This window comes from Homo sapiens, chromosome 3 (genome assembly GCF_000001405.40).
Source record: "Homo sapiens chromosome 3, GRCh38.p14 Primary Assembly".
In the NCBI taxonomy this organism is placed as follows: domain Eukaryota; kingdom Metazoa; phylum Chordata; class Mammalia; order Primates; family Hominidae; genus Homo; species Homo sapiens.
In genome coordinates, this window is record NC_000003.12 from 55296339 (window position 1) to 55318264 (window position 21926).

Genomic DNA, 21926 nt, shown 5'->3' on the forward strand with positions numbered 1-21926 from the left:
ACATTCTCGCTGACACTTTCCTTTGTCTGCCTTGCATTCTTATCAGACTTACATTCTTGGTCTGAAGCTTTATTTCAGAAAACAAATTTGAGGAGAAGAATGGATTTGTTAGACTTGCTTCAAGAAATGTTTTCTCCTAAAATGTGCCCAATGTGCTAGGCCTAATGTGCTGTGCCTGCACAGGGAGTTATTGAGCCTCTGACCCCCTGAGCAGGCACAGCACATTGGAAGAAGGATGCTGCTGTACCTCGGAACCGGGAAGCCCCTGAGGTCTCCTTCTCAGTGCCACCATTTGCAAACGATATGCCTTTGGTAGATTAGTGTCTAACCCTTAGTTGCCTCATAGATAAGATGAAGAAGATATTTCCGCTTTTCATTACCACAAAATAGGATGTGTGTGTGTCAATATATTGTATTAGTCCATTCTCACACTACTAATAAAGACATGCCTGAGACTCAGTAATTTATAAAGAAAAGAGGTTTAATTAACTCAAATTTCTGCATGGCTGGGGAGGCCTCAGGAAACTTGCAGTCATGATGGAAGCCACCTCTTCACAGGGCTGTAGGAGAGAGAATGAGTGCCAGCAGGGGAAAAATGCTAGGCACTTAAGAAACCACCAGATCTCATGAGACTCACACACTATCATGTGAACAGCATGGGGAAACCACACCCATGATTCAATTACCTCCCACCGGGTCCCTCCCACAACACATGGCAATGATAGGAACTACAATTCAAGATGAAATTTGGGTGGGGACACTGCCAAACCATATAACATATCTAGAAGCTCATATGGGCCATAACAGGCATTCTAGAAAGCTCTTTCTGAATGATTCTCCCTGAAGTCTTGTAGTTCTGTGGCAGTGCCTTTAAGTACGCCACCATAGAAAAGGGAAGTTTTGGTCAATTTTTGTAAATTCCATGTGTGTGACAAGAATGAGTGGTCTCTGTTAAGTACAAAGATTGTATACAAACATACACATATCAGGCGAATTACTGTGGAAGTCAAATCCAATTTATCTTTGTTTAATTTTGATCTCCTTGATGGACTGGTTTTTGAGAAAGTTCTGGACCGTTTCCCACACTGACTCTTCACTCAACCATTTATCCTCATGTTTCTGTCATATCTTTACACAGCAAATCCCAGCTAGTCCTCTCCTAAGTACACTATTCTGTTCCCAAGTCCTCTGGTGCCTGAAGCTTTCTCATTATCATGAGAGCAAAATAATGTGAGTGTTAAGGCCCACAAAGCAATAAAGCATGATTGTGAAGAGCAGAAGCTTTGCAGACAGACCCAAGTTCAAACCTTGGCACCATCACTTCCCAGCTTATGAACTTGGGAGGCTAACTGACTTTCTCTGAGCCTCAGAGTTCCTGTCTGTAAAATGGGAAAATTAACACCGGAAGTTAGGGTGGATTCAATGAGACCACGCATGTAAAGCAGTTATCACAGAGCTGGGGAGAGGAACCGGTAAGGATTTAGTAAATGCTAATTTTGTTAGTAACAATAGACAACATCTGCATGGCAGCAGATCTTCACCTTCCTGAGAGTGCTTAATATGTTCTGGGCACTAAGCCAAGTGCTTCAGTTGTATCAGCACATTTAATCCTCACAGCAAACCCATAAGAGTGATAGGACGGACATCACCATTTTACAGAGGAGGCCACTGGGGCACAGAGGGATGAGGCAGCCCACCCAAGGTCACCAGTGAGCGGTTGCTCCTGAACTGCACCTCCATCATGGGAGCATGGGAGCCTGGGCTCATCTTCTGATGACAAAGTCGGTCATGGAACTAACAAGAAGACACACCACAAAAAGGGACTCTTTGTCCCACATCCCTTTCTGTGACCTCCCAGAAGTGCCCCGCAGCACCAGACTCCACTCTGGGTGGCTACTGTGGTTCTTCTTTTGTGTCTGGGAAAAAAGGGTGCTCGATAGGATCCAGCTGCCAGCTCACTACAGCCCAGCCCTCCTCCGGTACTCCCAGAACAGCTCTTGGGTCTAGGACAACAAAGCCCTTATTGGTCTCATTGTTGCAAGTGTAGTTGGAAACATCTGAGATAAAGCTGGGATGGAAAACCGAGCAAACTGTTAAAATCTGCACAATAAAAAGGCACAATCAGGACACACTTAGGGATAACATGTTACACTTCCAAAAATTAACACTGTTGGATGAAAGCCCCAGCTTCCCAGTTTTAGTTCATTTTAGAAAAAAAATCTACAATACATAAATATACTCCCACTGTAAAAAAATAAAAAACAAAAGCCAAACAATCAATAAGTATGAGGAATAAAATGAGAATGTTGACCATTATGCCTCCGTCCACCCTGAACCCACAGCTTCCAGTGGTAACCATGATCAATAGAGTAGATATACCTCCTCCCAAGCTTTTTCCTTTGTAATAAATGCATATATATGTACACATAAACATGTTTCATTTGGAAAATATTGTGTTTCCACACAAATGGTGTCACAATATGTGCATTGTCTGCAAACTAGCTTTGCTTATTTTATTCACTTAACAATAGGTTTGGGGAGTGGGACTTGGGGAGAAATAGGTTTGGAAAATTTTGCCAAGTCTGTGCACACTTAAATTGACGTTATTCTTCATGAATGACCGAAGTGTTTCCCATGGTGTGGTGCTACCATAATAATTTATTTAACCTTGTCCTTCTGAATGGACATTTGGGTTGTCATGGGGGCAAGCTCTAAGATGACCCCCTCCCCATGATCTCTACCTCCTGGTATTCATGCCCCTGTGAAATCCCTTGCCCTTGAGAGTGGGCTGGCCTCATGACTTTCTTCTAATCAATAGAATGGAGCAAAAGTGATAAGATGTCACTACTGTGACTAGAGTACAAGACATTGTAACTTGCCTCTTGCTAACAGACTCTTCTCTTGCTGGTTTACAGAAGGGCCCATGTGGCAAGGAACTAAGGGCAGTCTCTGGCCAAAAGCCCACAAGTAACTGAATTCTGCCAATAACCATGAGTTTGGAAGTGGATCCTTCCCCATTCGAGTCTCAGATGAGTCCCCAGCCCTGGCCAACATCTTCATGTGCTGTGAGAGACCATTAAGCAGAGGACCCAGCTAAGCTCTGCCCAGATGCTCAATCCACAGAAAAAGATACTAAGTGTGTGTTGTTTTAAGCTGCTACATTTGCAGTGGTTTGATATGCAGCAATAGATAACTGATACTGCTGTTAATTGCTTTCTATTACAATCAGCTGGAATAACTGCCCTTGTGCCTACAATCAGAGATGTATTTTGGGATCAATTCCCAGACCTGAGATTGTTCAGTCTAAGGGTAAGGATATTTAATGTGGAAAAATAACACTAAATTGTCCTCCAAAAATATTATCAAGTGACAATCATGCAAACAGTATGAAAGTTCCTACTTCTCTCCATGTTCTTGCCAAATGAAGTGTCATTGATCATTGAAAAAATATCAGTTTGAGAAAAATCAGTACTGCATTGCTTTGATTGCATTTTCCTGATCACTTATCAGGGTGAGCATCTTTTTAACGAATCCCTTGGCCATTTATTTTCCTCTTTCTTTTGAGACTTCTCTCTTGATATTTTTAGCTTTTATCCTATTTTAATTGGATTTCAATTGGATTGAACAACTAGAATGATAGAATGATATCTGGGGGGCACACAATGGCCATTGGTGATGCTGCTGTTGATTACCCAAAGTGCTATCCCATTTCTTCCTGTGTATTTACTACTATTTCTCTTGCAGTTAATAAGCAATTTATGGGAAGATTCTTTGAGACCATTCAAATATCCTGCACCTCATTAAAATATCCCCCTGGATTTAGCAGCCTTTGATGATTCTTGCCTGAACAAAACTTTATTATGGTAGATGTAAAATGAAGATTTTCATTTCTAGCACTTCTTCCACATTTACCAGCTACATTCAGCCTTCTTGTGGATAAGACTCTCCCCTTTCTCCCAAATGTTTATTGTTTTTATTAGTATGGACTCACGATTTCCTGTTCTTCTCAATGGCCTATAATTTATTACTATCTTTAATTATATTAGTGCTCAAATTTTCCCAGTTTGGCCAGTGGGATCCCCTCCAAGTTGGCTATTATTTCCTTGTGACATACCCACTTTTTCTTTCTTTCTCTTTCTTTTTCTTTCCTTTTAAAACTCACTTCTTTACTTCCTGCTCCAGCCCTGGAATCAGCCATTTCTCTGAAAAACTGTGGTTCTTTCAAGTGGACAAAGGTATTAGAGACCAAAATTTGGGCACAAGATATGCACTTTAACAAGGACCCACTTTAAGTGCAGTTTAGTGAATTTGAATGAATGCATGAACTTCTGTAACTACTACCACAATCAAGATATAGAGTTTCTGTCACCTCTCAAAGCCTCCTTTTCTTGCTTGCTCATATGCAATTACCTCTGTCCAAAATGACCCTTTCCCTTTCCTCTACACACTTGGCAAAGCCATGATTGAACATTTATTCCTTCTTAGATTTTGTTCCATTTTCCTCAGCAAAGGTTCTTTGTTTCCTCTTCTTCATGCTCACAAAAGAGAGAGTAAAAGTGCTTGCTCAACAGTTCTTCAACTGCTCTAATAAAGATTGATTCTCTTACCAGTTTTGTGTCCTTGGGAGTTAATCAGCCTCTCTCTCTGTCCATTGATTTTCCATCTGTAAAATGGGTCACTCTTGAACTGGTCCCATATCCAACACATGTAAACCTGTCAATGTAACCTACAAAATATCTCTTGGATCTTTGCCCTTCTGGACAGCTCCACAGCCACCACTCCAGTACCTCTCTTTTGAAAATCTGTCTGGTCTCCCAAATTCCACCTTTGGGCTCATTCTAATGGATTCTCTACAACACAGCCAAAGTCATCTTAAGAAATGCCCATCATTTCTTGATTGAAAACTCTTAATGGGTTAGGTATAGAAGGAAAGTTCCTCAATATAACAAAAGACATTTATGAAAAACCCATAGCTAACATCATAATCAACAGGGAAAAACTGAAATCTTTTCCACAAAGATCCAGCACAAGGAAGGGATGCTCACTCTTGCCACTTCTATTCAACATATTACTAGAAGTATTAGCAAGAGTAACCAGACAGGAGGAAGAAATAAAAGCATCTAAATTAGAAAGGAAGAAGAAAAATGGTCTCTATTTGCAGATGGCATAATCCTATATGTAGAAAACCCAAAGAGTTTACAAAAAAACTGTGAGAACTGATAACTAAATTCAGTAAAGTTACAGGATACAAAATTGGCATACAAAAATTAGTAGCATTTTATACACAAATAACAGCAATGCTAAGAATAAATTTTTTTAAATCTTATTTAAGATAGCATAAAAAAGTGGAAATAGATTTAACCAAGAAGGTGAAAGATTTGGCACTGAAAACTATAAAACCTTGATTTAAAAAGTTGAGGACAACACAAATAAATAGAAAGATATTCTGTATTTATGGATTGGAAAAATTAATATTGTTTAAATATCCATAGTACCCAAAACAATATACAGATTCAACACAATCCCTATCAAAATTCCAATGGCATTCTTCATAGAAATAGAAAAAAATCTTAAAATCCATATAGAATCATAAAAAAACAAATAGCTAAAGAAGTACTGAAGAAGAACAAAATTGGAAGGATCACATTTCCTGATTTATATCACAAAGCTATAGAAAGCAAAACAGCATGATAATATCATAAAAACAGATATATAGACCAGTGGATCAGAATAGAGAGCACAGAAATAAATCCAAACATATATGGCCAACTAATTTTTGACCAGGACACTAAGAGGACACAATGGGGAAATGATAGTCTCTTCAATAAATGCTGCTGGAAAAACTGGATTTCCATTGCAAAGGAATGGAATTAAACCCTTATATTACACCATATACATAAACCAACTCAAAATGGATTAAAGACCTAAATGTAAGACTTGAAACCATAAAACTCTTAGAAGAGAATATAGGGGAAAAGCTCCTTGGCCCTGGCAATACTTTTTTTGATATTGCACCAAAAGCCCAGGCTACCAAAGCAAAAATAAATAAACGGGACTATATCAAACTAAAAAGCTCTGCACAGCAAAGAAAACAATCAACAAAGTAAAAAGGCAACCTACATCTAGGGAAAAAATATTTTCACAATTCATATCTGATAAGGAGTTATTAATGATTGGTGCAAATGGATCCCAAATTGATTCATTTAATACATTTGGATATTTAATAATATCCAAAATTTGTACAGAACTCTTACAACTCAATAGCAGAAAAAATAAACCTGATTAAAAAATAGGAAAAGGTCCTGATGGATACCTTTCCGAAGAAGACATAAAAGCAATCAACAGGTATATGAAAAGACACTCTCAACATCATTAATCATTGGAAAAATGCAAATGAAGACCACCATGAGATATCACCTCACACGTTAGTATGGCTATTATTAAAAACACAAGAGAGGCCAGGCATGGTGGCTCATGCCTGTAATCCCAGCACTTTGAGAGGCCGAGGCAGGCAGATCACAAGGTCAGGAGTTTGAGACCACCCTGGCCAACAAAGTGAAACTCCATAACTACTAAAAAAGAATACAAAAAATTAGCTGGGCATAGTGGTGGGCACCTGTAATCCCAGCTACTTGAGAGGCTGAGGCAGGAGAATCGCTTGAACCTTGGAGGCAGAGGTTGCAGTGAGCCAAGATTGCGCCACTGCGCTCCAGCTTGGGAGACGACAGCGAGACTCTGTATCAAAAAAAAAAAAAAAAAAAAAAAAAAGAGGAAATTCTGCTGTTTGCAACACATAGATGTACCTGGAGGAGATTATGGCAAGTGAAAGATGCTGGCACTGAAAGAAAAATATTGCATCATGATCTCACATATATGTGGAATCATAAGAAAAAAAGAGAAAAAAGTCAAATGTATAGAGAATAAGACAGTGGTTACTGAGGTTGGGGGCAGGAGAGAGGAAATGAGGAGAGGTAGATCACAGAATACAAAGAAGCAGATATAGAGGATCAGTGAGTCTAGATATTGAATGTACAACATGAAGACTATAGTTAATAAAATTATAGTGATTATGGATTTTTGTTAAGTAGATTTTAGCTGCTCTTTTCACAAAAAAAGCAGCCATGTGAGATGATATATGTTTGTTTATTTCACTGTAGTAACCATTTTACTATCAATACATATCCCATATTATATTGTGAACCTCAAATATACACAAAAAAATTTATTTAAAAAAAAATAAAGAAGGCTGGGTGCAGTGGCTCACGTCTGTAATCCCAGCACTTTGGGAGGCCGAAGCAGGTGGATCATGAGGTCAGGAGATCGAGACCATCCTGGCCAACATGGTGAAATCCCATCTCTACTAAAAATACAAAAATTAGCTAGGCGTGGTGGTGTGCACCTGTAATCCCAGCTACTCGGGAGGCTGAAGAACGAGAAATCACTTGAACCCAGGAGGTGGAGGTTGCAGTGAGCCGAGATCACGCCACTGCACTCCAGCCTGGTGACAGAGCGAGACTCCGTCTCAAAAAAAGAAAAAAAAAAGAAAAAAGAAGAATAAATACCAATCAGTGCCATGACCCGTCAGCTGCTACACACTCAGTGGCTCCTCAGCACCGTGGTGAGGATACCCTCCATCCCTCCCCACATGGCTTGTAAGAAAGGACCTTCTGGAACTGACCTCTCCTTGCACACGTCACACTGTACTCCCCCGACTTGCTTTCCAATTCTCCATGCACCATCCTGCCCTCTCTTGCTGGAATAGTTTCCCTATCTCACCTAGACCTTCCTATGATTCCATACGCAGAGAGGCTTCCACTGGCTTCCCTGATGAAGTCAAATCCCCCCACCGTGCACTCCTCTAGCTTTTGTCACATTTTTTTGGTTGCACTCGCTATAGTTGTACCTCTCTTTGGTATTTTTGTGATATACTTGATAAATATCTGTCTCCTTAACTGGAATCTAATCTCTCAACAGTGGGTGCTATTTTCCCAGGACTGACACTCAGTGGGCATTAGCTGAAAGAATGAATACCCCATAGGGTTGGTGTTGGGATGAATGAGGTAACACACGGCCTGGCCTGAAACAGAACAACACATGGAAAAGCAATGCCAGAGGCAGGGATTTTTCTACATAGTTTCATCACTCTAATTACCATTTTCTATTGTGAGTTCTCCTTTAGCAGTCTGTCTTCTCTACCATTCCAAAGATGCATTGAAGGTGGGGACTAAGTCACACTCTTCTCATTTCTCCACCACCTGGTACAGTGTCTATGCTTAGTAAGGGTTCAATAAGTGTGTGGTGAAATCAGTAAGTAACTAATGAACGAATGAAGTTATTTAACCTCTACATGCTTCTGTTACCCCATCTGTGAGAAGGGGAAAATATAAGCACCTAACTCATGGGCTAGTTGGGAGGGAAGTATTAACTTGGATTGATATTTGCAATTGTACATTCTCTTTTAAATAAATATGCAATGCATTGGGCAAATGTAAGGGATTTGGGTTATCAGGCCTACTACAGAAGAATCACGTGCAGGGTAGAGGGGAGTTTGTGGAGGGGTCATTTCTCTCTTCACACACACAAGACATCATCTGTCTCTATTTAGAAAACCCTGAAGTGCTCATCATATACCTCTCTTAAGTTCATATCACATTTCTCTAACCACACTTTACATATTTTGTATTAGCTATGGGATAGAATATATTTTCCCTTACATTGCTCTCCACTGCTCTTTAAAGACATTGCTATTCCCTCTTGTTCATTTAATCAAACCTTCATTGGATTGTGCAATATTCAAAGCAAACCAGATCTGAAAATGCTCAATTTGGAATTTTTTCCCAGTTATTGATGCTTATTTGTTCTGACGATATATATATGGTTTTTTACCTCATCCCTAATAACTCCACAAACCTAATACATGCCCTTCTCAAAACCTCAATATACATGAAAACAAAGGTCTGTCAATTCTCTGACTTCAAATAAAAATCTGACAAATGCCACATCTTCCCAACAGGCCTGGTGATTGACATTTGAACAATTTAGTCACACTGGTCATTTAGCATTGTGACAGTCACAATGTCTGGTCACTTGCATCTAAGAGGTTTGCCTCTGAAGACACAGTGTTATTTAATGTGCCTGGTATAAAACAGTGAGACCTATCAGTGACTATCTTCTTGGGCTGATCATTCTAGTTTTGAATTAGAAATTTAAGGACGGCAGCTGTCTATTTAGTATTCAGCTCATAGTTATGAAATCATCGACATTTTCCATTTAAATTTTATTGGTGAGAATCTTGTGTAGGAAACTGAATCATGCTTTCATTTCCTTACATCCCAGGACACAGTGCTTTTTCTTCAAAAGTAAATAGGGCACTGTCTTGGGCTTTTTCTGAATTTCTTGTCAAGGAAAAAACCCTTTTCTTGAGGGCCAGCATTCATCATTTGTGCCTGTTTTTTACTCTGACTGAAAAAGAAAATGATTCAGTCTTCCAACTGGCTATTCTCTGGTTGCTTTAATTCATGGGAAGCCAAGAAGGAGAAATTGGTAGGTTCAACAGTGTTGGACAAGGATAAACAGAATCATATCACATTAACTGTAATTTACAGCATTTCAACACATCCCTGCTTCTGCCAAAGCTGGCACAGATCAGCCCCCATTGGAAAAAAGAGAGAACAGGATGGGGCTTGGAGGGATCGAACAGAGAATCTAAATTTCTATTTTCTAAGCAGGAGTTTGAGAACTAGAGCCCCATCAGCACTTTCTTGAATATTTTGCTCATTCATGCTATAAAAATAAATAACACAAAATATTTTCTGGACTTAGCCTAGTCTGTTGCTAAAACCAAAGCCAGCCTGCTTTCAAACAGACTCACCGTTTCACAAGCATGGACATTTTCAGGCTGGCAGGCGGCCACTGGAGGAGTTATTGAAATTCAATTCAAAATGATGTACTCTCTGGAAAATGCCCATTTATGAGCATTCAAAGGGATGAAGAATTTCACAGGAAGATGACAGCAATGACAACTTCTAGGACCGACCAGTGTTGCCTGGAGATGATTACCCCTGAAACACACACGTGCTCTGAGAGTTTTGCTGGAGAGTCTTCTAAAGGCTGGGACTGTTTGTGTTCAGATGGAATCTCTGTATATGAAGCTATTTATTACAGGCTGAGAAAACAAATATATGCAACAGGGGATTGGTGGAATTTGTAGCTGAAATACCCATAGTGGGGTCAACATCATAGATCCCAAAAAGATCAGAGCCCAGGGCTGAGAGGACCATTTTCTAACCTGAGGGCTCCCAAACACATTCAGAGATGGAACATCTGGAAGTTATGTTCTCTCTGTAGAACCCCACGGAACACTGATAGCAATTTTTTTCCCAGCAGATAACCAAGGAACAATTTTTCTGGCTAAAACTATGGCTGTCGTGGGTATGCCATTTAACAACTCAGCCCTAAATATTGTACTTTTTAAAAACTGTCTTTCTGTCCTATAAGAATGAAATCATCTCTATGAGGACAGTGACTTCATCTTACTGCTGCCTTCCCGGATGGAGCCTGCACAAGCATCCTCAGAGGCAACATGTGGTCCAAATGAATACACCTGGTCATTCTAGAGTTCTTCCAAAAAATTCATCTGCCACTACTAAATCTGTTAGTGACCTAGGTAGACAGCAGCACACATTTCAGAAGGAAATTATGGGCAAGAAGAATGCTCAGTAGTTAAGAAAAGTCCAATCCACAACATCATTTCATCCTCTCCATTTGGAGAAGACCCCCATTATAACAGTTTAAAGGTGGTGATTCCTTCAGCATTTCTGAGGTCTACCTCTATTGAACAATAGCAATTGGTAAAAACGAAGTTGAGAACTACTGGCCTAACCTATCCTGACATTGCTGAGAATTTATGCTTAGAACGCAAGTCAGATTAGAAGACCTCATCCTCAGCTTGACCAGCTAATGTTAATTAATGATCATAGAATAAAGTTATTGCATGAAGTGATTCCATATCATTGTGCAATGTCCTGAAGTCAGGGATGTCCAATTTCCACTTCCACAGAGGAGTCAGTACAGTCTGTGTTTTTGCGGGGTTAGGGGAACATCATTCGTTTGATAAATAGTCACTCATGGCCTTCCTATGTGCTAGGTACTGTCCTGGGTCCTGGGTAGATAATGGTGAATAAAACCAAGCTCCTGCCCTCCTGGAGATTATTTTATTCTCATGGAAGAGAAACATGGTTAAAAACAAAAGTATAATAGAAGATCAGTTAGTGCTAAGAGCTGTAAAGAAAAATAAATTAAGGTGAGGAGACAGAGGGGAAGGCAGTGATGATATTCAAGAAGGTTTCTCTGGAGAGGGACCATTTGAACCAATACTTGAATTAAATAAAAGCAGACACTAAGTGATAATAGAGGTGACTAACATCTGTCAAGACCCCAAAGGACTTTTTGGTCTGAAGTAGGATCACATGATGACGTAAAAACAATCAGACAAGGACATTTGTTGCACAACTATACTTGAGTGCTGAAAATAATTGGAAACATGTTGTTTCTTCCACTAGGCTGTCAGAAATTTAGTGAGGTACACAGAAAAGTAGGTTTAAGGACATATAATTACAGCAAATTCTGAAATATCCAATCCTGCCTGGTCATAATAAAAATCTATGGAGAAGTTACTACGTGAGACCCAAGTATATATTTGCAAGAAGTCTTTATCCTTAATTCCTATCTTAGTCTGTTCAGGCTGCTATACCAAAAATACCATAAACTGTGTGGCTTAAAAACAACAGAAATTTTTTTTCTCACAGTTCTCAAGACTGGGAAGTCCAAGATCTAGCAATCGAGAGACTGTGTCTGCAGAGGGCCTGCTGGCTGGTTCATAGATGACAGCCTTCTCACCGTGTCCTCACAAGGCAAGGGGCAAGGGACCTCTCTAGGTCCCTTTTATAAGGGCACTAATTCTATTCATGAGGGCTCCACTCTTGTGATCTAATCACCTTGCAAAGTTCCCACCTCTAAATACCATCACATGGGGAAACAGGTTTTCACAAATGAATTAGGGGCAGGGGTTGCATAAACATTGAACCTATAGCAACTACTAAATATTATTTGTTGAATTATTTTCCATAGTCAACATAAAAATGGAGACAATATGAGTTCCAGCCGAAAAAGTGCCAACTTTGAGGAGAGAGACGTAACAGGCAAAGCCTTGGTTCTGCAATGGCCCAGCGTGTCATCTTGCACATATTGTCTCTCTGTGTATTTTTCACATTTGAAACATGAAAGTGGTCACGTCTGGTCTGTAGAGTTGTGGGGAAAATTATTGATGATAATGTTTATAAAGGCCTGTCCTACCCCACTGGCGGTGGAGAGGTAGTAATATATAGAATATTATACAGAAAATCAGAAAGGGAAAATACTTCGTCCCAAAAGAAAAGAAAAGTACCTAAGGATAATTTTTCTCCACCCTCCCCAGAATCACTGTCTATAAATCTTAACTCATCGGCACTAATGCCCACAGTCCAGTCTACTCATAGATTGGGTATATGTGTTACAGAGCTCTTTTTAGGAGTATATATATTGTTTAAACTTCTATTTCAAAAATGAAGTCTGTGCACATAGTCTCTTAAAACTGTGGGACTTCTGCATTGGTAGCCAAAACCAACTCAAACTAATTGATGACAACTCCAACCTGAATTACTGATGTTATAATCCACAGATGATTTTAAGAGTTTAGCCTTATGAACAAACTTTCTAACTAGAACAACCTAGTGCTATCTAGGGGAGGATGAGATTAATTAGTACAAACAAATGGATGTAAAACAATTATTTTTTCAGCTAAACGTTTATCCTCCATGCATTCATCTACACATCTATCCAACCAACAGACATTTATTAAGTGCCATGTGTCAGACATTGGTTTACATGGTTGGGATTCAGCAGTAAAACAGACAACATTGCTGCTGACCTCATGATGCGTATATTCTAGTTCATAATACAGATCAACACAAATAAACAGATAAATTTATAAATAATTTGTGGTGTTGACAAGTGTTATGAAGAAATGAATGCATACTCAGGATAGGTGAACACGTGATAGCTCAGGGGAGGTAGGGTGGTCAGGGATCACTTCTCTGAGGATGTGAAGTATGAGTCAAGACACAGATGGAATGAAAAAGTGAATCATGTAAAGATCTGGGAGAAAAGCATTCCAGGCAGAGGCAACAGCAAGTGCCAGGGCTCTGAGGCAAGAGTGAGCTAGACATTTTCCAAGCCTTGCAAGAGGGCCAGCACAGCTGGAGCAGAGGGCAAGGTGAAGAGTAGTCAGAAACGAGATTGCAGAGAGGCAGGGCCAGATCACCTAGGGCCTCAAAGGCTATATAAGAGTTTTCTAGTCGATTCTAAGTGCGATGAGAAGCCTTTGAATTTTATTTGTTTATTTGTTTTCTTGTAAAAGAGTGATTTGATCCTATTTTCTTTTTAGAAAAGAGTTTAATTGTTATGGGAGAATTACAACTCTGCTCTATCGTAGGAGATAGCAGGTTCTGGAGATGCAGAGGGGAGAAGAGGAAAAAAATCAGATCGACCCATTAGGAAGTTACTACAATAGTGACCCTAAAAGAAATGGCAGAAGCTTAGACCAAGGCAGTAGTAAGCAGGAGCTGTAAGAAGCAGTCAGATTAGGACCTATTTTAAAGTAGAAGGAACAGACCTCCTAGTGGAGTAGATGTGAGAGTGAAGGAAAGAGAAGTTTGAGGCACATTTAATGTTTTCAGCCTAATGAGCACCTGAGGTACATTTACTGAGATGGGAAGACAAGAAAGCAGCAGATTTGAAGGGAAAATCAAGAATTCTTTTTGGGGTGTGCTCATTTGAGATGCTAATTACACATCTAGATAGAGATGTTCAGCAGTCAGATGGAAGTGAAACAAATATCCATGATTTGCTGCTGAGGAGTTCAATGTCAAAAATTCCAGGAGTAAGCACTCAGTAAATGTGGTTCTCTTATCACTTAAACTTCGGGAAATACTTCATTTTCTTCTCTCAAGAAATAAATTCTTACCAACTTGACTGAGTGAATATACCTAGAATTCTACACTTCCAAATTATTGAATATACATTCTTTTTAAAGAGCATATGGAACATTTACCAAAATAGACCATATACTGGAGCAAAGAAGTCTCAACAACTTTCAAAGGAGAATTTTTTTTCACCTCAGTGGAATTAAACTAGAAATCAATAATAAAAAGATAACTAGAAAATATCCAAATGCTTGGAAATTAAGCAACACACTTCTACCTCACCTATGAGTCATACTCATAGGTTAATTAAGTTAATTAAAGAGTTAATTAAGATGTTAATCAAAGAGTTAATTAAAATGGAAATTAGAAAATATTTTGAACGGAATAATAGTGAAAATATATCAAAATGTGTGGGATGAAGCTCAAGCAGTAGTTAGAGGCAAACTTGTAGCTTTCAATGCATATATTAGAAAAGACTGAAAATAAATGCTCTAAGTTTCCATTTCAATAAACTATAAACAGATTAACACATTAAACTCAAAGGAAATAAATGATGTAAATTTGAGCAGAAAGCAAGGAGAAAACAGACATTTAATAGGGAAATCTAACAAAGCCAAGAGTTGATTCTTTGGAAAGATGTGTAAGTTGATAAATTCCTAGCAAACCTGATTAAGAGAGACAGGGAGAGAGAGAGATGGGGAGAGGGAGAGAAAGAGATGGGGAGAGGGAGAGAAAGAGAGAGAAAAAGAGAGAACATAAGTTACCAATATCAGATTTTAAAAGGCCACATCACTATAGATCATATAGACATTAAAATGATTATAACGGGCTATTTCAAAAAACTTTGCCAATAAATTCAACAGCTTGGATGAAATAGGTAAATCCCTTGTAAAACATAATTTATTAAAACTAAAACAGAAATAAGAAATCTGTTAAAAAATGGAATATTTAGTTAAAAACCTTTCCACAAAGGAAAATTCAGGCCCAGATTGTTTCATGAGTGAAATCTTCCAAACATTTAAGAAGGAACAATAGCAAACTTAAATAAATTCTTTCGGAGTTTAGAGAAAGAAAATGTTTTTAAACTCATTTTATGAGGTCAGCATAACCCTGACACCAAAACATGATAAAGCCCTTACAAGAAAAGAAAACTACAGGCCAATCTCACTCATAAATATACATACACATATATATGTATGTGCATACACACATATATATGTATGTGCATATATATGTATATGTATACACATACATATATATAAAAGAATTTGTTTTAAAAATCAAATATGCCTTTGCTTCAGTCTATTTTGTTCAGTCAGACTAACTTTTAAGTATATTTGAGACACTTTGATGGCCCTAGAAAACATTCCGGGGTTGGAAATTTTTCAAACTGCAATCTTGAGGTAGAAAGTACGTGTCTATAGTTCACCTGATGCCCCCAAAGAATATATTTGTGTCCCTACAACAAAATTAATTATAATTCCTCTTTTGGGGACAAACTCATCTTTTGGTTCATTTAAAAAATAATTAAAATGAACAAAGTCCAATAACATCAGCCAAGCTTACCACAACTCATTAGCATGACAAATATCGGCTGACATAACTGATGATAACATTGAGATCATTTCTTATTGTCTTCTTATGATGAGTGGTGAATGAAAGCAGGCACACAATCACATATTAGGACATACTTGTACATAACACTTTTGTAACCACTTGGCACCAAATCATAGTGATGAAGAGCTGTGATTTTATTAAACAACAAAGAGCAATTCACTGTTTCAAGTTAATTTTATATAATAAACTATTACATAAAAAGATAGTGGTTTAATATTTTGTTCTCATAAACATTTTCAAATGTCTTCATGTGTCATTTTATGAATCTCAGTACCCCTGAAATACAACCACCTGATCTGGCCATTTTGGAACACACACCAGTGGGGCTAAACTATCAGCAAGATACCTAAGCAATCCACATGGCTGATTTATTAATTGAATTGACTGGGTGTTTCATAAGTGCTTACAAACCAGTCAGCTGCAGTGGCTGCAGAGCAATGATTCTCAAAGTGTGGTGCCCAAACCAGCAGCATGAACTTCACCTGGGAACTTGTTAGAAATTCAAGTTCTCTAATTCCAGTTCAGACCCATAAATGAGAAACAAAATCACAGCCCTCTGTACTTCAATGAGCTCTCCAGGGAGTTCTGAAACCTGGCCCCCTCATGTCTGAGAATTGGCAACAGATCCACTGAAGATCCTATGGTTAAATGGTTATCAATGTTATCTATCTATCTACCGATCTATCTTCTTGCAATACATATGTCATTCAGTGCTCACATATATAATAACATCTTCCTCTAAGAAACAGTTTTCAAAGAAAGAAAAGGAAAATGTTATGGAGAAATTAAAGGTCACAATAATTTGAAAATCACTTTAAATATGGATAGGAGATCAGTAACTGTCATTCAGTTTTGGCAATGGCATAGATAAAATTGTTTATGGACTTCGGCCTAATTTCCAGACACTTTAACTCCTCTCTTTTCTCACTCAAGAGTCCTTACCGGAATTATAAGTGAATGGGAGGATGCTACTTTCACCACCATGATTGACATGTGGGATGTATAGATTGATTAAAAGAATAGGCTCTGGAGCCTGAGTTTGAAGTATACTTCCTCCTTATTACCAGTGAGACCTTGGTCAAGTCTCTTAACCTTTCCGTGCCTCAATTTCCTCATAATTCCTCATAACTGCTCCTACCTCCTGGGGTTGTGAGGATTAAACAACATGATATACATCTAACATTATTCAGCTAGAGCTTGGCACATACTAAATCCTCCATGTTAGCAATTATTATCACTAGCTTTAATACTATCAGACCAAACAAAAGTAATCCACTCATAAATTACATTTGATAACTGATGACCCAGACTGAGCCCTCTGAGTTTCTGAGTGACAAACTCAAGAGCTGGATTAGTCAAAAAGGCTGGAATTTACTGGTCTACTTTCCCAAATGATGGAAATAGGAGCATGAATTGTCCTCAAGGATGACTGCAACCAGGGACTCAAATACACTTAGGACCATCCCCTCTGTCTCTGTCCTCTCTGCTTCTCCCTGCATCACCTTCATTCTGTTAGACAAAAAGTCTAGCTTCTTTCGCAGGGCAGAGAGCAGGGTCACCAAGTCATTCTAGTTTTAAAGCCTCAGGTGTGACCAGAGAAGATGATCCAACTAACAGACTCAAGGGATGGCCATGGCCTAGCTTGGGTGATCACCCTTATTGGGACCAATTTCTCTGGCCAAGGTCAGGCTCCTTCCTTTTGCACATCCCTTCCGCGACAGTGGCACCAATCCACCGTGAGTTTTGCCAAGGATTTATATCCCTTTAAGGTAGGCCCTGAGCAGCCTTCCTGAGCCATCTGGCTTGAGAGAAGTAACCAACCATTTTATTCCTTCTTCCTGTTGTTGCTGTCATTCTGGCCATTTCGCAATCTGGTTCTTGATGAGTGTCCCATCTTTCATGGCTTTTGTTGAATTTGACCCCAGGCTGGAAACGGGACGTGTGTTTATTTTACCTGACAAAGTACCCATGGCTGAAAAGCTTGGAGCACTCGAGTACTGTATTTTTTCCCCCTCCAGATGGGGCTGTAATTGTAATTTAACTGTCTGGGTCCAACTTAAGGTGAGGAAAAGATATATTAAGTTTGCACACATGTTATTCGCCTACCCCCACCCACATCCCTTCGGCTCTCCACATTTCATAGGCAACCACCTTCTGCGGGAGGGGTGTGTGTGTGTGTGTGTGTGTGTACACACACGGTCGTGTTACAATTCTCATTTTGCAAAGTTTATGCAAAAACCAAACACCTGGGTTCAGAGTTTCCTAAAGGAGTCATCTGAAGTAGGTGCTTTACGCCAAAACGTCACAAAGATTTATGTGCTTTCATTTGTGCATTAAATTGAGGACAGGTGGGAGAATGCTCAGGCCTGAGAAAAACTGATAGCTCATTTCTCCCTTCGAAGAGAGATGGCTGTTATGACTACTGCTGGTTTAGATAAAATAGATACAGACTTTGTTTAAAAAAAAAAAAGAGGGCTCATGTTTGAAAAACAGTATTTCAGCAGTCAAATAATTACCTCTGCGATCATGTTTCTCACAAATGGAAAACCCTGGACTGAGATCCCACAGTGAGTCCTGCTCCTAGTTCAAACAACAGGCAATACCATGCCCAACAGCCAAGAAAATGGCCGGACCTCCCTTCACACTTGCTGAGGAAGGGTCCCTGGAATTGAGGCAAATGGTGGCCTCAACACATTCCATTTTAATGGCTTGCAACAGAGTCAGTTACACATATGTAACCACTCACTTTTTAATTTGATTCTTGTTTCAAACACCTTTTCAGGACCCAATACATCTAAAAAATGTCATCACTTGATAGGTCGCTACTCTATCCCTGGCCTTGAAACAAGTGATTCGATGTGCTGAGTATTCACCAGGATTTGAAATAAGACTGTGAATTTGCATTTCAGAAAGGGAATACTATTTGGAAAGCCCAGTCTGCCAGACTTTTCACAAAGGGAAAGGAGAGCTCCACTGGGAAAGCCTGCTGGTCAGCCTCCCCCAGGCAGGATGCTGCTTGTCCCCCTGATGACCTGGAGGCATATTGGAGAAATCAAAATTATTCTGTACACTTGATCCTTTTGAGGTTCAAACTGAGCTTCTGAATCAAGTATTTATCAAACCATTGACTGATTTCCGAAGTAAGAATTTTCTACTTGGAAACCAGAGCTATATTCACATTGAAGGGCAAAGGACATACAATTAGTTCCTGTTTTTGTATGACTTCACTCAATTACATGGATACACATGAAATCTGAAACCACCTAATGATTTCTGATCTTTTCTTGTGTAGGCAGTTTCTACAATTCTAGTGATCTGTTGGTCATTTAAAAGAACCACTAAATGTGATAATCAGAGAGTAAGAAATGCTCAAAAAAGCAATGGGAAAAGCTTTCAGATAAAATACCCTATAACTCCCAGACATTTTTGTATAAGTTTATTTAGCAGTTCAGCTTGAGATATGTATGTGTTTGTGGGGGTGATTACTATGACTGTTGAAGGGAGGTAGATAAAGGAAGACATTTTATAAATTGGAGAAAAATGGTGCTAATAGTTCAATAAGATAAATGCCTACCTTTTAAAGTTGAATTCCAGAAGAAATTGCAACACAGAAACTGACGCAACATTTTTTTTTCCACGTCAGAAAAACATGCTATCTTGCACCCAGAGTGGAAGCTGTGTGTTACAGCTTGAAAATACTGGGATGGTGCTCTATTTAATTTATATAATTTATACATTTTTTCTTTTATTACTTTAAACTTTTTTTTTTTTTTTGAGACAGAGTTTCACTCTGTCACCCAGGCTGGAGTGCAGTGGCGTGATCTCGGCTCACTGCAACCGCCGCCTCCCAGGTTCAAGCGCTTCTCCTGCTTCAGCCTCCCAAGTCGCTGGGATTACAGGTGCCTGTCACCACACCTGGCTAATCCTTATATTTTTAGTAGAGTCAGGGTTTCACCATGTTGGCCAGGCTGGTCTCAAACTCCTGACAGGTGATCCACCTGCTTTGGCCTCCCAAACTTTTGATTAAAATTCTGCTGCTTAGTGAAAAGAGTCCAAGGTTATTTTTTCATCTAAAAACAAACAAAAAGAATTTTATTCACTGTGATTTAAAAAGCATGCCTAGAAAGAGCCCTACCTTAAATTTGCACCGTGCTTCATAACATTGGTTCTTATTCATTTTCGAGATACTCATCACCAACATATCAATAATTGCTTATAATGTCAGTGGGTCTATGGACCATCTAATGCCCATTCCTAGATCTCTGCAGTGTGTGGAGTCTGGTCACCACACCCAGCTCTACCCTTTACATTGTCTCACTTGATCCAAACGACAGACCTTTGAGGGTCTTATCCATCAGGCTCGGGTCATGCCTACCTCCAGCCAGTCTCTCACAAGGCCTAAGAACACAGATCTGGCCACTGTCTGCTAGTCCAGAAGGGTTTACTTTCTCTACTCCTGCTCCCTCCACCCCGACAGGTAGGATCCAAGTGAAGGTTAGACTATGTCTTGCTAGGTAGGCTAATCGGGTAGGGTGTGAAATACATTCTTCCAGGAAGAAATGACCAGGGTTGTTTAGGTTCCCAACCTGCATCTCCACCCTGCCTAGTGGGTCGAGAGTGCTAGCACTTTAGCTCCGTGCTTCACAATGTCTCCATGAAAAAATTCACTGTGGCTCCTTTAGGGGGAATCTCCCCTTGCTGTGGTGATACCAGGAAAACTCTGTCCCAAACCTCTGGGGCAAATAGCTGCCCTGTTTCTGTATCATTGGCAATGAACCCACCGTGACTTAAAATAACAAAAACAAGAACTGACATTGGACTGACTTTGTTCCAGGCACTGTTTCAAGCACTTCACACATAGTGACTTATTTAATACTTACAACAATCCTATTAGGCAAGTGCTATTATTCTACTTTTTTCACTAATGAGGAAACTGGGCCACAGAGTTGGGATTTTTTTTTTTTTTTTTTTTAGTTTGCTTATGATCACACAGCCAGTAAAGGTTGGAAACAGGACTCAAACCCTCCCTTTGGGTCCAAGCTCTGACCACTTGACTCCACTTAGCAATAACAAAAGAAAATGCACATACTTATAAATAAATAAACATATGTATTATCTGAGGTCTTGACCAACATTTTAATTTCTTTGACCAATGTGAATATTGTCATCAGGAGGATTAGAACTGCCGCATTCGGTTGATGAGCCCTACAGTGTGAGGAGGAAGCTGTGAGGTATAGAGGTGAGGAGCACCAGAGCTGCTGTGGACTCAGGACATGAAGGAAAGCCACAGAAGCTCCCTTCTCCTCTTTGGCTACCACCAGCAAAACAAGGTATTGTGGGGTCACATAAGGACGAGGATCTGGATGAAGGTAAAGGTGGGTTTCAGAGGGTAAAGAATGAGGAGGCGAAAGGGAAACACTACGTGATTCCACCCAGAAAGTCTACAATTGCTCACAACACTTGGCTACTGCCTACTGTGGGGACATAAATTAGAGATTGTTCCTAGTACATGCTCACGACCTATTGTTATTCTTCCTGCATGCCTGTATAGTAAAGCTCACATTATGAGGGTTTGGTTCTAAAGTCAGCAAGGCAAAACTAACCAAGAGTTGACCTTCCCCGGCAAATCTCTGAAACTGTCCAATAGTAGAGGACACAGACATATCTCTGTCAGCAAGTGCAGCACAGCAGATCCTTCCGCCAGTAAGGAAAGAGATTTCTGTTCTCTCAGTGGAGCACCTGAGGAAGAAGCTGGCTTGAACATAGAGGCCCTGTTGTTCAAACAATACAGTTTTTAAAGAGCAGAATTGCCCTCAATATAGGCAGATGCTCATGCTAGGAGATGCACTAGGGAACCAGGACAGAAAAAGGAAACATCACATTTCCATTTCCCATCTCATGCCAAGGCATAACTCAATGGAAGAAAATGTACCCAGAATTGACCTGCATGGGCATGGCTTCATTTGACCAAGTTAAGCATGTGCGAGAGGGATGCCACCGTTAACTACAGGCAAGGCTGGTATTAAGTCATTACACATTGGTATGCTGATCTGCCCAGTGAAAGCTCTAATCAGTTAGTGCCCAAAGTGCCAGTCCTTAAAGTTTTTACTATAACCACTCCCGAATGTACACGTGGACCCACATACGTGGAGCCACACATGCCCGCATAGCTTAATCTCCCTCACTGCAGCATGGGCGTTATGTCTGGGATGCCCTAGATTTAGGGGTACTTTTATTTACCCTCCAAAGAAAGCCCTGCTCAAATCCTACCATCCCTGGGCAGTCTTC

The 21926-nt window shown here is 39.7% G+C and overlaps 2 long non-coding RNA genes across 12 annotated transcripts in view; one reads left to right on the top strand and one right to left on the bottom strand.

The window, feature by feature from the left end:
- Nucleotides 1-4609, top strand: part of LINC02030 (long intergenic non-protein coding RNA 2030) — a 74093-nt gene extending 69484 nt beyond the window's left edge. For all 11 annotated transcript variants that reach the window (NR_183740.1, NR_183746.1, NR_183747.1 and 8 more), the window contains one exon: nucleotides 2916-4609. This is a non-coding gene — a long non-coding RNA (long intergenic non-protein coding RNA 2030). The remainder of the gene's footprint in view (nucleotides 1-2915) is intronic.
- The window catches only part of LOC124906243 (uncharacterized), a 207146-nt gene that overhangs the window by 152531 nt on the left and 32689 nt on the right, over nucleotides 1-21926 (bottom strand). The window lies entirely within an intron of this gene.